This window comes from Homo sapiens, chromosome 11, assembly GCF_000001405.40.
Source record: "Homo sapiens chromosome 11, GRCh38.p14 Primary Assembly".
Classification (NCBI taxonomy): Eukaryota; Metazoa; Chordata; class Mammalia; order Primates; family Hominidae; genus Homo; species Homo sapiens.
The window spans coordinates 133,124,385-133,137,326 of record NC_000011.10 but is presented as its reverse complement, the minus strand read 5'-3'; the positions used below and the strand labels follow the sequence as shown (position 1 = coordinate 133,137,326).

Sequence of the window (12,942 nt, the reverse complement as noted above, 5' to 3'; positions counted from 1 at the left end):
TAAATAAGCAAATATAAGAACAGGATTTACACACAAATCTCCAAAGATCATTCACCAGCCTTCCAAAAGAGTGAATGCAGGAGTAAGGCAGAATAGTTGTTCACTTGAAATCATTAATAAAAACACACACTTAGAAGAGTTTTTCAAGAGAGGCTCAGCCAAATGCTCTGTAAAAATGCCCCCCACTTCCCAGAACCTTTCCACAAGTACCCAGAGCTTCCTGTTGTTAAATAGGAGCTAAACCAGCGATGAGAAAACCATCCTTCACGTTAATGGTCCTTTTGGCCTTTTTCTTCCTGCAAATATGCAAATTCTTTTGAGGGCATCCGTCATAACCATTTTTTCAAAATAATTTATTTTTTAAGGTAGACTTCTGATGACCATTCCTTTCTATAGAAAAATAATATTCCCTAAAATACCCCCATGAAACACATTAAAACCCCTTCCCCAACACACACACACACACACACACACACACACACACACACACACACACACGTGCACATAGAAACTGCAGTGGTATTTCCTTAACTAACAAAGCCCAACATTTTAGGTTCTTCGAAATCGAGCCACATCCTAAATTTCCAATCTTACTTCCAATGTAGCATTTCTTGCTCCACCTGCTCACTCCCGTATTCTCTCTCTCTTTCCCTCTCTCTATTCCCCACCCTTTCTCCTTTTCCCTATTCTCTCAGTCTTTCCAGCCTGAATGCCTGATTCCAGGAGCGCCTCTTCCTGGAATGCCCTTCCTCCCACCTCTGCCTCTTGTAAGCCAACCCAGCCCATTAGGAAGCAGCTCTATTTTTAGTGTTAGATGCTTCCAAGACACTTTCTGCTCCTGGTGTGCTACAAAGGCTTCAGTATTGATCTGGAAGCTGCTTTCTGGAGCCTTGATCCCAGTCTGTCTCTGCAGTGCTTGCAAACTCCATCTTCTAGAAAGTGGGGAAAAAAGTTGGGGCTCTGCACTAAAAGCTCCTTCTGCTTTGTTTGAGGGTGGGTTTGAGTTTGGCAGCAGAGGCATAGACACCACAGTCAAAAGCTTTATTCCCACTCTTCCATTGCTGTATTTCTCTTCATGCATATCATTCCAAACTCTTACTCCTCTATCTTGACTCATAAGAGCCCTTCTTCACAAATAGAAACCTAAATGGGTTTTACTGTATGCATTATTAATTTTTCTTAGGTGTCTCCTACTCTCAGTCTCAAACACTACATCCCTGAGCATCTGCAAATGCCAGTAATGAGTTTCTCATAGTAAATAGCTAGATTCTTAGGTCTTTTGAATAAATATGGGTGAAGAACGAACTATCAGAATGAGTCTGTGAAGGGTAATATGGTATTTCTTGGTCAATATTGCTTTTTTGTCCCACAGTGGAGTTCTGCCGCTGTTACATATGGCAACTTTCCAACTTGGGTAATTACATTCTGCTTACCTCTTGTTTCTCTTGTGGTTCCAAGATAACTTATCCTTCATGTCCTTTCCTAAATAAAATAAAGAAGCCTACTTTTGGTTCCGCTATTTGCGGAGACAACTGAGGTAGAGAGAGGTAGCAGAGTGGAAAAAGGACGCTACTTTGAGGATCCTGCACATAGACACTCCAACGCATTCTAGTGGGAATGTTAACTCCATAGAGCCTCAGTCTTCGCATCTGTATTTTGGGAGTCTTCTGCCCTACTCTAAATTGTTATGGAGATTACACAGAATATTACAATGAAAAGGACTTTTAAAAGTACTATAAATATCTATGGGAGATTGTTGGTCGCCCACACAGAAAATTCAACTGGGTAGGGACAGGTTTAGCAGAGCATTTCCTAAGAGAGGAAACCCTCCTATCTCAAAAACAAAACCCAGTCTGTCCCAACAGTTAAAAAAAAAAAAAAAAAAACCTATGGAGGGCAAAGAATAGGAATCAACACACCCACCTCTTGCACAGGAAAGAGGCAAAGCTGTTGAAGGAGAAACAGGACAGAAACAGGAGTCAAAGGGTGTGATTCTGGTAGAACCTCAACAGTTAACTAGCCAATCACATGCTAATCATAAGGCTAGTGTGCCGTCTTAAATTCCTCAGTAACAGGCAGGGATCACTAACGCTTCAGCTGTTATTTATTGTTATGAATATTGTTGTGAAGATCACAAGAGATAATATACCATCAAATGAGAGGCCCATGCGTTGTTAATTAACCAAACTGGAGTGCCAGCCAAAGCAAGATATGCTAACCAGGGAGAAAAATGCCTTTCAGAGCAGTTTTTCCAGAAATTTCCTTTTAGTGATTGTACAATTCAGTGCTCTTGATTCTAAAATGAATATGAGGCTGTTTTCAAGAAAGAAAGGGAATCAGTGTGTGTAAAATGTGCACTAGAACAATATCCAGGAAATGAAGAGGAGGAGAGTCTGGGAATGGAAAAAATACTCCAGAAAATACAAGTAAAAGAAAGTGGCTGTAATTATGCACAACAGCTCTGAGCCAAGGAACCTTACTGGTGTTTCCTGCTGCCTTGTAGCTGGGGTGCAGGGAGCTCTCTGCGCCCTCCTGGCATGAATGACTTTGGGTGCAGGGAGAACAGCACCACCTGGTGGTCGTAGCAGGATGGTGGCTCATCTCGCTTGATGTGGGCTGGGCTCCTTTGCAGGGTTCACGCAAGAGTTCCCTTGGAGCAAGGAAGACAGCGGACAAGACCTGGAGCAAGTCGAGGATATTTCAGGAGGAGAGCCCATGGCCGAGGCGACGCAGCAGGAAGAGAGGGCCAAGAGTCATCCCCCAAGGGGTGACTGCCCAGTTCCCCTTTCTCTCCTGCCTCCACTGCCCTGGAAACAAGAGCACAGGGGCCATATGCAGCTCACTCACCCACCTAAGACTCTGAGGAAGGCCTTTCCGAAGAAATGGAAGGACTGTGGCTCAGGACAGAGGTGCCTCAGTCCCTGGGACTTCCAGTGTTTGGGAGGAAAGACCTTGCACCACTGAAGAACTCCCTTCTATTATTCTATGTGGATTTCATTTTGTAGATGCTCAAATCACTCGGAGCACCTTTCCCTAGTTAAGTCTGCAAGTGGGGAAGTGAAGCAGGTTTTGTGGTGCTGGTCATGTGAGCAGGAAAGGGGCATGGGATGGAAGGCCTGGGAATGTCTTATTAATAGTTAAGTGGACAAGGCTGATAATGGGATATCTTTTTATTGGCCCCACAGGTAAGTTATAATACACAAGCTTGCAGGCAGCTCCTGTGATTTGCATTGATACAATTCAGGCTGAGGTTTTCATTATGTGGCAGGGATGATACAGGAGCCTGTATTATCAAAGGCAGCTGAAAGGAGTTCAGGAGCGATCTCATATTCTGTGTATGCGTATTCATTAATGGTTAGTAAGGTGCTTTGTCCCGTGTGATATTGGATGTTTCATGTTGAATCATTAACAACTTGAACAGCTTTATACATATGTCTTATTGATGTGTAAAGTCATTGCAACCTAGGCTTTTTCCCCCCCGAATGAATGAGTTCTGCTTTACTTGGGCTTATGCAAAAAGCCTAGTGACATTTTCACTGAGCACAGGCAACTCGTGGATGGGAAAGGGGCTGGCAAGGCAAACCCCAGGAAGCTGGCAGTCTGGTGTAAGAGACACAGGGATGGTTGGTTTTTAAAGAAACAGCATGGCAGCAGGGGATGTTATTAATCAAAGGGAGGGTGGATTCTGTAGTTGCTGCTCAAGGGAAAGAGAGGGGAGCTACTACACTTCCTGGGGGATGGCATAAGGGACACGTTTTCCGAGGGTGATCAGGGGTTCTTCTGGAAAGGGGATGGGGAGAACGGGCTGCCTGTGTTGCCCAGGGGGCAAGGAGAGGAGAGTAAATGATGAGCAGCCCGAAGGTGAGGGAAGGGCTGCATGAGGTAGGCAAGAGAAGATGCCAGAAGATGGAAGAAACGAAAATGTTTAGCAGCTGACAGTAAGAAAATGTGGAGGCTAAAAACAAAGGAGCCAAGGCAGCTTTTCCTGGCTGGAGATGGGAAGAATAAATGGGATCAGAGTTAGAAACCAATTATCTCTGATTGCACAATCAGGACACTGCTTCCGAACCAGACTCCAGCCGCCCTGCCACCCAGGGGCCTGAGGCCACCTAAGGATGATGTCAGATCTCAGGAACTGTTGCATCTGATTCCACTTCAGCCCTGATTATCATTAGGCAACATTTGGAGGCCATGCCTTCTGAGTCCTAACAAAGCAGAGAATTTTCAGGCTGTGTGGGACCTACTTTGCAGGCAGAATTTTAATTTCTGAGTTATTAGACACCAAACAACCTGAAATAAGCTTTCTGGTTTCTCTGACGTTGGTTCTAAGCCCTCACAGAGCTTCCTGAAAAGTTCAGGACTTCATGCCAGCCCTAACGCCACTGGCCAGTCTACCGACCACCCATCTCCATATCTTTGGGCCCTGAGTATCTTTGTGGACTTTGTCCCCCAAGTTTTTTTTTTTTTTTGCTTCCCTTTGTGATCCCAGGAAAATACTGATCGCTTCTATCACAGTGGATGAGTTGCATTTTCTATTTTTTGTGTAAATAGAATTATAGAGAATGTACTCTTGTTTTTTCTGGCTCCTTTTCACTCAACGTAAGTATTTTGAGATTCAGCCAAATGTGTGTATCAATATGTCCTTTCTTTTCATTGCTGATTAGTATTCCATTGTATCGGTGCACCACAGTTTGGTTGGCCATTCAGCTGTTGGTCAACATTTGGGATGCTACCAATTTGCAGCTATCATAAAGTTGATATGAATATTAGCGTATACCTTCATTTATCTTGGGTACATGCCTAAAAGAGGAATGGCTGGCTCATATAATAGGTGTGCTTCACTCTTCAAGAAACTGTCACACTATTTTCCAAAGTAGTTGTATCATTTTACATTCTGACCAGCAGTGTATGAGAGGACAGAGTCCTCCATATCCTCACCAGCACCAGGTATAATCAGTCTTTTTAATTGTAGCTGTTTGAATAGTGTTGTAGTGGCTTGTCATTGCAGTCTTAATTTGCATTTCCCTGATAACTCACGATGTCAGGCATCTGTTCATGGGCTTATTATCCAGTGGTGTATCTTCTTTGGTGAAGTGTTTTTCAAATCATCTGCCAATGTTTTAATTGGGCTGGTATTTCTTAGCGTTAAATTATGAGAGTTTCTGTGTATTCTGTCTACAAGTTCTTTATTAGCTGTATGATTTGAAAACACTTTCAGTGGTATTTGTCTTTTAGTTTTCTATACAATGTCTTTCAAAAAAATTTTTAATTTTGATGAAGTCCAACTGTCACTTTGTTGTTTTATGAAAGTTTCTAAAAGTTTTACAGCGTTATATTTTACATATAGGTCCATAATCCATTTTAAGTTAATTTTTGTATATGGTATAAAATATGGATTGAAGTCCATTATTTTGCATATGGATATGCAATTTTTCCAGCACCATTTGTTTAAAGGACTATTTTTTCTCCACTGAATTGCTTTAACACATTTGTCAAAAACCAGTTGTCCATATAAAGACAAAAAGAACATACAATTAGACATCTGGGCTCTGTGAGGTTCAAACATGTTAAGACAGCACTTGAAATTTTAGGTCTTAAATATATGCAAACATTCATGGGCAGGTTTTTATGTGGACATAAGTATTTAACTCATTTAGGTAAATACCTAAGGGTGTTATTGCTATATCATAGAGTAAGCCTATGTTTAACTTTGTAAGAAACTGCACACTGTCTTCAAAATTGTCTGCATCATTTTACATTTCCACCAGCAATGATTGAGAGTTCCTGTTGCTTCACATCCTTGTCAACATTTGGGGTTGTCACTATTTTTAATTGTAGTAAATTTTAATGGTCTGTAGTGGGAGATCATAGTTGTTTTAACTTGTCATTCTCTGATGACATATGATGTTGAACTTTTTAAAATAATTTTCTCCTATGTTATACTCTAGAAGTTGTGCTGTTTTGCTTTTTACATTTAAATTTATGGTCCATTTTGATTTAATTTTGGGGAAAGACGTAAGGTCTGTGACTTACATCATTTTGGCTGCTGTAAAAACATACTATAGTCTGGGTAGATTATAAACAACTGTAGGAAATAGACATTTATTTCCTACAGTTCTGGAGTATGGGAAGTCCAAGATCAAAACACACATTTAGTGTCTGCTGAAAGCCTGCTTCCTGGTTCACAGACAGCCATCTTTTGCTCTGTCCTTGCATGGTGGGAGGTACAAAAGCCCTCTCTAGGGTCCCTTGTGTAAGGACACTAATCCCGTTCATGAGGCCTTTGCTCTCATGACCTATTCCCCACCCCAAATTCCCACCTCCAAATATCATCACACTGGGAATTAGGTTTCAACATAGATATTTTGGCAGAGGCAGTGAGGGAGTGACATTAATATTCAGCCTACAGTGGTCTATGTCTAGATTCATTTTTTTTTTGCATGTGGATATTGAATTATTCCAGCACTATTTGTTGAAAAGCCTATCTGTTCTTAATTAAATTTCTTTAGCTCCTTTGTCAAAATTTAGTTGACTATGTTTGTGTGGATCTATTTCCAAGCCCCCTGTGCTGTTACATTGATCCGTTTGTCTGTTCCTTCGCTAATAACACACTGTCTGGATCACTGTAGCTTTGTATGTCTTGAATTTGGATAGTACCAGTTCTCTTACTTTGTTCTTCTTTAATATTGTATTGGTTATTTGGGGGTCTTTGTGTTTCCATTAAAGAATTTAGAGTCTTAAGTCATCATAGTAATGTTTTAATAATATTGTCTTTCTATCTATGAACACGAAATATCAATTTATTTAGGTCTTTGATTTCTTTTATCAGAATTTGTAGTTTTTCTCAAATAGATCTTGTGCATATTATGTTAGATTTATATCTAAGTATTTCAATATTTTGGTGCTAATGTAAATGAAAAAAATGTTTGGCCAATATTTCTAAAAACATTTTTTATGTTCCTTTCTCCTTTCCTATAGCAACTCAATTTACATGTATATTTGGCCTCTTGAAGTTATCTCACAGATCATTAATGTTCCACACATTTTCTTTTATCATATATTTTCTTCTATGCTTCATTTTCAGTAGTTTTTATTGTTGTGTATTTGAGTTCAGTATTTTCTTCTTCATTGTCTAATCTGTCATTATTCTTATCTAGTATTTTCTTTATCTCACACATTGTAGCTTTTTATTTCTGGAAGTATGGCTTAGATGATTGTTTGCTCATTTTTCATGTCTCTGCTTAACTATTTGAACGTATGGAATACAGTTATAATAACTGTTTTAGTATCCTTGGTTACTAATTCTAATATCTATACATAATTTGTGTCAATTCTTGCTTTTTTTAATTGACTGATTTTTTCAATATGAATCATATTTTACTGCTTCTTTATTTTTATTTATGTATTTATTTTATTTTAGAGATAAGTTCTTGCTTTGTCATTCTGACTGGAGTGCAATAGTGTGATCATGGCTCACAACAGCCTCAAACTCCTGTGTTCAAGTTACCTTCCTGCTTCAGCCTCCCAAGTAGCTGAGGCTACAGGCATGTGCCATGACACACACAGCTTTTTATTATTATTATTGTTGTAGAGATGGGTTCTTGCTATGTTGCCCAGGTTGGTCTCACACTCCTGGCCTCAAGCAGTCCTCCCACCTCAGCCTCTCAAAATGCTGGAATTATAAGTGTGAGACACCACACCCAGTCCTTGCTTCTTTACATGCCTGATACTTTTTAAACTAAATGCCAGGCATGGGGAATTGTATCTTGTTGTGCACAAGATATTTCTATTTTTCTATAAGTATTATTGACCTTTGTCCTGGGATACATTTGAATTACAAGAAAATAATTTCATCCATTTGGGTTTTGCCTCTGAAATGTGTTAGGCAGAACTTAGGACTAATCCCTCCTTACTGAAAATCTTTCGGTGTACTCTACCCAATATCCGGTGCATTACACGGCTTTCCTGCGTGGTGGCTAGGAGCAAGCACTCTTCTTGGCCCTGTGTGCTGCTACTACTAACCCTCTCCCCTGCCTTGGGTAGTTCCCTTACGTGCATGGTCTGATCTGTACTCAACTGAGTACTTGGGAGGAGTTCTTTGTAGATCTCTGAAGCTCTCTCTCTGTGTAGCTAACTCTCTCCTCTCTAGCACTCCATTCTGGAAACTCCAGCTGCTTTGATCTCCCCCAGACTCTCAACTTCATCTCTTCAACTCAGAGAGTCTTTCAGTTCCCACCTGTTTCCCCTTCCCCTGTGTAAACTCTTAAGGCAATGAGTTGTCACAACTGTGGGTTTACTTTGTTTTCCAGCTCTCGCGGACCTCTGTCTCATCACCTGATGTTCAGGGCCTCGAAGATGATTGCTGTAGATATTCTGTGTGTTTTTTTATTGTTTCAGGTAGGAGGGCAAAACTGGTCCCTGTTACTGCACTTTGGCCAGAAGCAGAAGCCCGGGCTACAGAGAGGGCTTCCTGGGGTCCTCATGAGAGCTTCATTTTGACTGGCATTTCTTCTCCACTCTCTTGGTCACAGTAACAGCTCTCCCTCTCCTGGTGTCAATGAAAAGCTCGTTGTAAAGATGCAGCTTTTCTCAGGAGCAACACTGACAGGCCTGGGAATCTGTATCTTTTCCACCCTGGAGTTCACAGTCAGTAGACAAAGAGCTCCCATCCATGAGAAGGCTGCTTACGCCAAGCTATGGCATCTGAGGCTCCTTCGGAGACTCACGCTTCTTCTGAGATACCTCCAGGGGTCCTCTCCACTGGCAGGGACTACACCGTTTGAAAGTCTGAGCCATGCCCTACACATGAGGGAGAAGTTCATTTTGTGGAGTGGAGAACTTGGCTCAGGGAGTGGTACAGAAAAGTGGATTCCAAAAGGAATAAAAGGAAGCCCTTTCTGGAGATTATTCCCCTTCCATTTTTTCATCCCTCCTACTTTTTACATTCGAAATGGAAGGGGAGGCTGAGAAAGCTATTTGCCAGCTCCTTCAGACTGACTCTGCAAGGCAGGCATTAGGACAACTGTCAGAAGAGCAATGAATCTGGATTCCACCTCCATAGGGGTATTTGAGGAATCCCTTGGGCATGAGGGGACGGGGCTGCCAATGCATTTGGCACTCTTCATTAGTTCCTTTATTCCATCAGTTTTCAGTATGCCTCCACTCTCAGCAGTCACTGTGAGGTGCTGGAGACCAATGGGTGAGGAAACCTGCGGTAAAGAGTATCAGGACTAAGGACAGCAAGGAGGGGAGCTGAAGATCACATAAGGGATTCCTGAAAAAACTCAAGGGAAAACAGTCATGCTGTGGTGATGTGGACTGATGGGTGCCTGAACCGCAGGACCAGCCTATCTTAAAAACCACATTGTCTTCCATATGCGGAACAAAGCGCATAATCATCCCGTCTTCTGCTGGCCAACCAGACCCGTCACTCAGAGCCCCGTTTGGAAGCCTGTGTTATCATTTATCTCTTATGTCCATATGAGGTGCCCCTCCTTGATGCTTGCATAGTCCCTTATATTCCCCTTTTAGAAAAATACATTTTAGTGTTTTTCTTTTTTTCTTCTTAATTAGATGATAAATTGTGATGACAGCAATTTGTTTTGTTCACATTTATATCCCTAGTAGCACAAGCCTGTGCACATTGTAGATAATTAGTAAATATTTATTAGATAAATGACTTTTTTTTTTTTTTGAGACAGAGCCTCTCTCTGTCACCCAGGCTGGAATGCGGTGGTGCAGTCTCAGCCCACTGCATCCTCCACCTCCCGGGCTCAAGTGATCCTCCCACCTCAGCCTCCTGAGTAGCTGGGACTACAGACATGCATCACCATGCCTGGCTAATTTTTGTATTTTTTGTAGAGACAGGGTTTTTCCAGGTTGCCGGGCTGATCTTGAACTACTGGGCTCAAGCGATGCTCCTGCTTCAGCCTCCCGAGTAGCTGGGAGATGACCAGCATGAGCTTCCATGCCCGGCCAAGATAAATGACTTTGGACTCATTTTCTCCTTCAAATGACCCTAAGAGATACTCAGAGGACCTATAATTATCATCATTTGACAGATATACAAAGGAGACCCAAAATGGTTGGCTCTTGAAACTTTAGAATAATAGTACTTTAAATTACCAGGGATCTAGAAGAATATCCACTGCAGGACATGGCAAAGCCATTTAAGCCTAGAAGTACAAGATGATGGATCAAAAGAGGGAAAGGGGCAGATCTAAGGACAGCTTCTTGTTACCTTTCCTAGGTTTACAGATACTCTCATTATATTTTGAAAGTTTGGAGATGGGAAAAAGGAGGTAGTGTCAATAGAGCTGGCCATGCAGTGAAAATGTGGATGCCATCTAAAGTACCATCCCACCACTTCTCTGCCAGAATGCTGAATTAAAAAGAACCATATCTCTCCCTACCTGCCCCTCTTCCAGGCACTCTCTTTTTCAGTGATGACATGCACCTTTTCCATTGCTACCCCTTTGTCAAGCTCCTGCATGTGCCCGTGGGTCCCTATGGCTTCGAATCCCAGGAGGGAGCTGGAATTCCAGGCCCAGTATCTTTGTGTAGCTGGGTAGCCTTGGGCAAGTTACTCAATCACTTCATTGTTCTCCCAGAAAGAATTTTAAAATATGGACTTGAAAGATACACATCAATAGTGGCTGCTTATATGGGATTGGGCAGAAGGAGTCAAAAGAGACTTAAAGTGTATCTGTAAGATTTTTATCCATTCTTTAATAATGTCTAAAGTAAAAGTGACAGAATGTAACACATTACATTTAGATGATGGGCACATATGCATTTGTCCATTGTCCTCTGTGCTTTTCTGTGCGCTGTTTGTGATGATTAATTTTATGTGTCAATTCAACGAAGCTAAAAGATGCCAGATAGCTGGTGACACATTATTTCTGGGTGTGTCTGGGAAGGTGTTTCTGGAAGAGATGAGCGCTGAAACTGACAGGCTGAATTCAGATCACCCTCACAGTGTGCGTGGGCATCATCCAGTCCATCGAGGGCCTGAGTGGAACACAAAGACAGAGGAAGGGAAAATGTGCTTCTGTTTGAGCTGAGACATCGCCTTCTCCAGACCTGGAACCTTAATGCTCCTGATTCTTGGGCCTTCAGACTCAGACTGATTTATACCACTGGCTTTCCTGCTTTTCTGGTTCTCCAACAGAACGTGGCACTTTTCAACCTCTATGTGAGCCGATTTCTATAATCTCTCTCTCTCTCATATATGTGTGTGTGTGTGTGTGTGTGTGTATGGTACATATATATACATGTGTATATGTAGTATATATATAGTGTATATATACACATATGTGTCTATACATGTATATATACGTGTGTCTATATATACATGTATATATATACACTATATACATGTGTCTATATATACATGTGTATATACTATATACGTGTGTCTATATATACATGTGTATATACTATATACATGTGTCTATATATACATGTGTATATACTATATACATGTGTCTATATATACATGTGTATATACTATATACATGTGTCTATATATACATGTATATATACTATATACATGTGTCTATATATACATGTATATATATACTATATATATACTATATATACTATATACATATATATACACTATATATATACTATATATACTATATACATATACTATACTATATACATGTATATATAGACACATGTATATATACTATATACTAGATACTACATATAGTGTATATATACACACTATATATATACATGTGTCTATATTTTTTATATATATATATATCCTATTAGTTTTATTTCTCTGGAGAACACTAATACACAGTTCACATACAACCATTAGGGGAGGGATTATAGAATGATGATATAAATATCTTGCAGGCTTTGGTGAAAAGTAGTGATTCTGTATGTAAAACATGAATACGTAGCTGATGCAGTAAGTGCTAGAATGTTTGCAGCATTGGTGGGGTAGAGAGGAAGAGAAAAAGAGATAGAGGCTGAATTACAAAGAGTTCTGGTAGGTAAAGCTCAAACATAGACACTGGGAATGGCTTTGATTAATTAACCACAACTGAATCCAGGGAAGGGATGTTTTCACTTAGGGAAAATGGATGCAAGTCTATATAATAAAGTGACCTCCTCAACTTCCTGGGGTAGTTTAAATACCCTCTCTACACATCCAAAGCATTGAGAAAGGAGCTACCTCCCGACGTTGCTTCTTAGAACCAGGATTGTAGCCAATCAGTATATCTCCAGTGATTACAATCGCCATTCCAAACGGTTGCCTGGACAATGGGGAGCTTAGGCCATTGGGGCTTTTTGTCCTTATTTGTATGAATTCCCAACCCATATGGGGTTTAAGCAGAGACAACTGCCCAATATGTCCAAGTACACACAGGAAAGAAGTGACTCCTCATTGGGTGTCCACTGGGAAGACCTCTCTTCCTTAGGTCTCTCCATTCTCTTGCAAGTAGAAAGAAATTGAATGGAAAGATTATTCAGGTTCCTACACTGGTTTTGAACAAACTACTGGCAAAGTTATTGAACAAGGAGACTATGAGGAAAATGATGGGAGGGCGGAGGTGAGGAAAATATTTTGAGGATCCAAATCAGATGGGTTCTGCAAGGGTGCATGAGCCTTTCAGGGTTGCAGAACGTGATGAAGGCTGAGGAACAAGGGGCCTGAAGATAACAGCTCAGTCTCAATGCCCCCATACTGTCTGCTGGGCTCTGCAGTGGGGCTCTGTGATTGGAACGGACACCTTTGCCCTCTGGTGATGCTCAGCAAATGTCAGGCTTTAATGAGATTTTTCACACTGTTGAGGGACCCTTGTGAAGTGTGTGCCACTCATAGCAAGTCACCAGTTGAGGTTGCATTGACTTATCTCTCTGGGGAGGGGCCACTGAATCTGTGATGTAGCAGACAAGCCATAAAGATGGGTCTAGGGTGCCCTG

At 41.1% G+C, this 12,942-nt stretch overlaps 1 protein-coding gene across 4 annotated transcripts in view, besides 1 other annotated feature; it reads left to right on the top strand.

The window, feature by feature from the left end:
• The window catches only part of OPCML (opioid binding protein/cell adhesion molecule like), a 1,117,521-nt gene that overhangs the window by 395,175 nt on the left and 709,404 nt on the right, over positions 1 to 12,942 (top strand). The window lies entirely within an intron of this gene.
• Positions 2,439 to 2,733: a silencer, noted in NCBI's record as "tiled region #13378; HepG2 Repressive non-DNase unmatched - State 12:CtcfO, and K562 Repressive DNase matched - State 12:CtcfO". NCBI's record gives its function as "represses a minimal TATA promoter and a strong SV40 promoter by Sharpr-MPRA in HepG2 and K562 cells {active_cell/tissue: HepG2 | K562}" and the evidence as "EXISTENCE:reporter gene assay evidence [ECO:0000049][PMID:27701403]".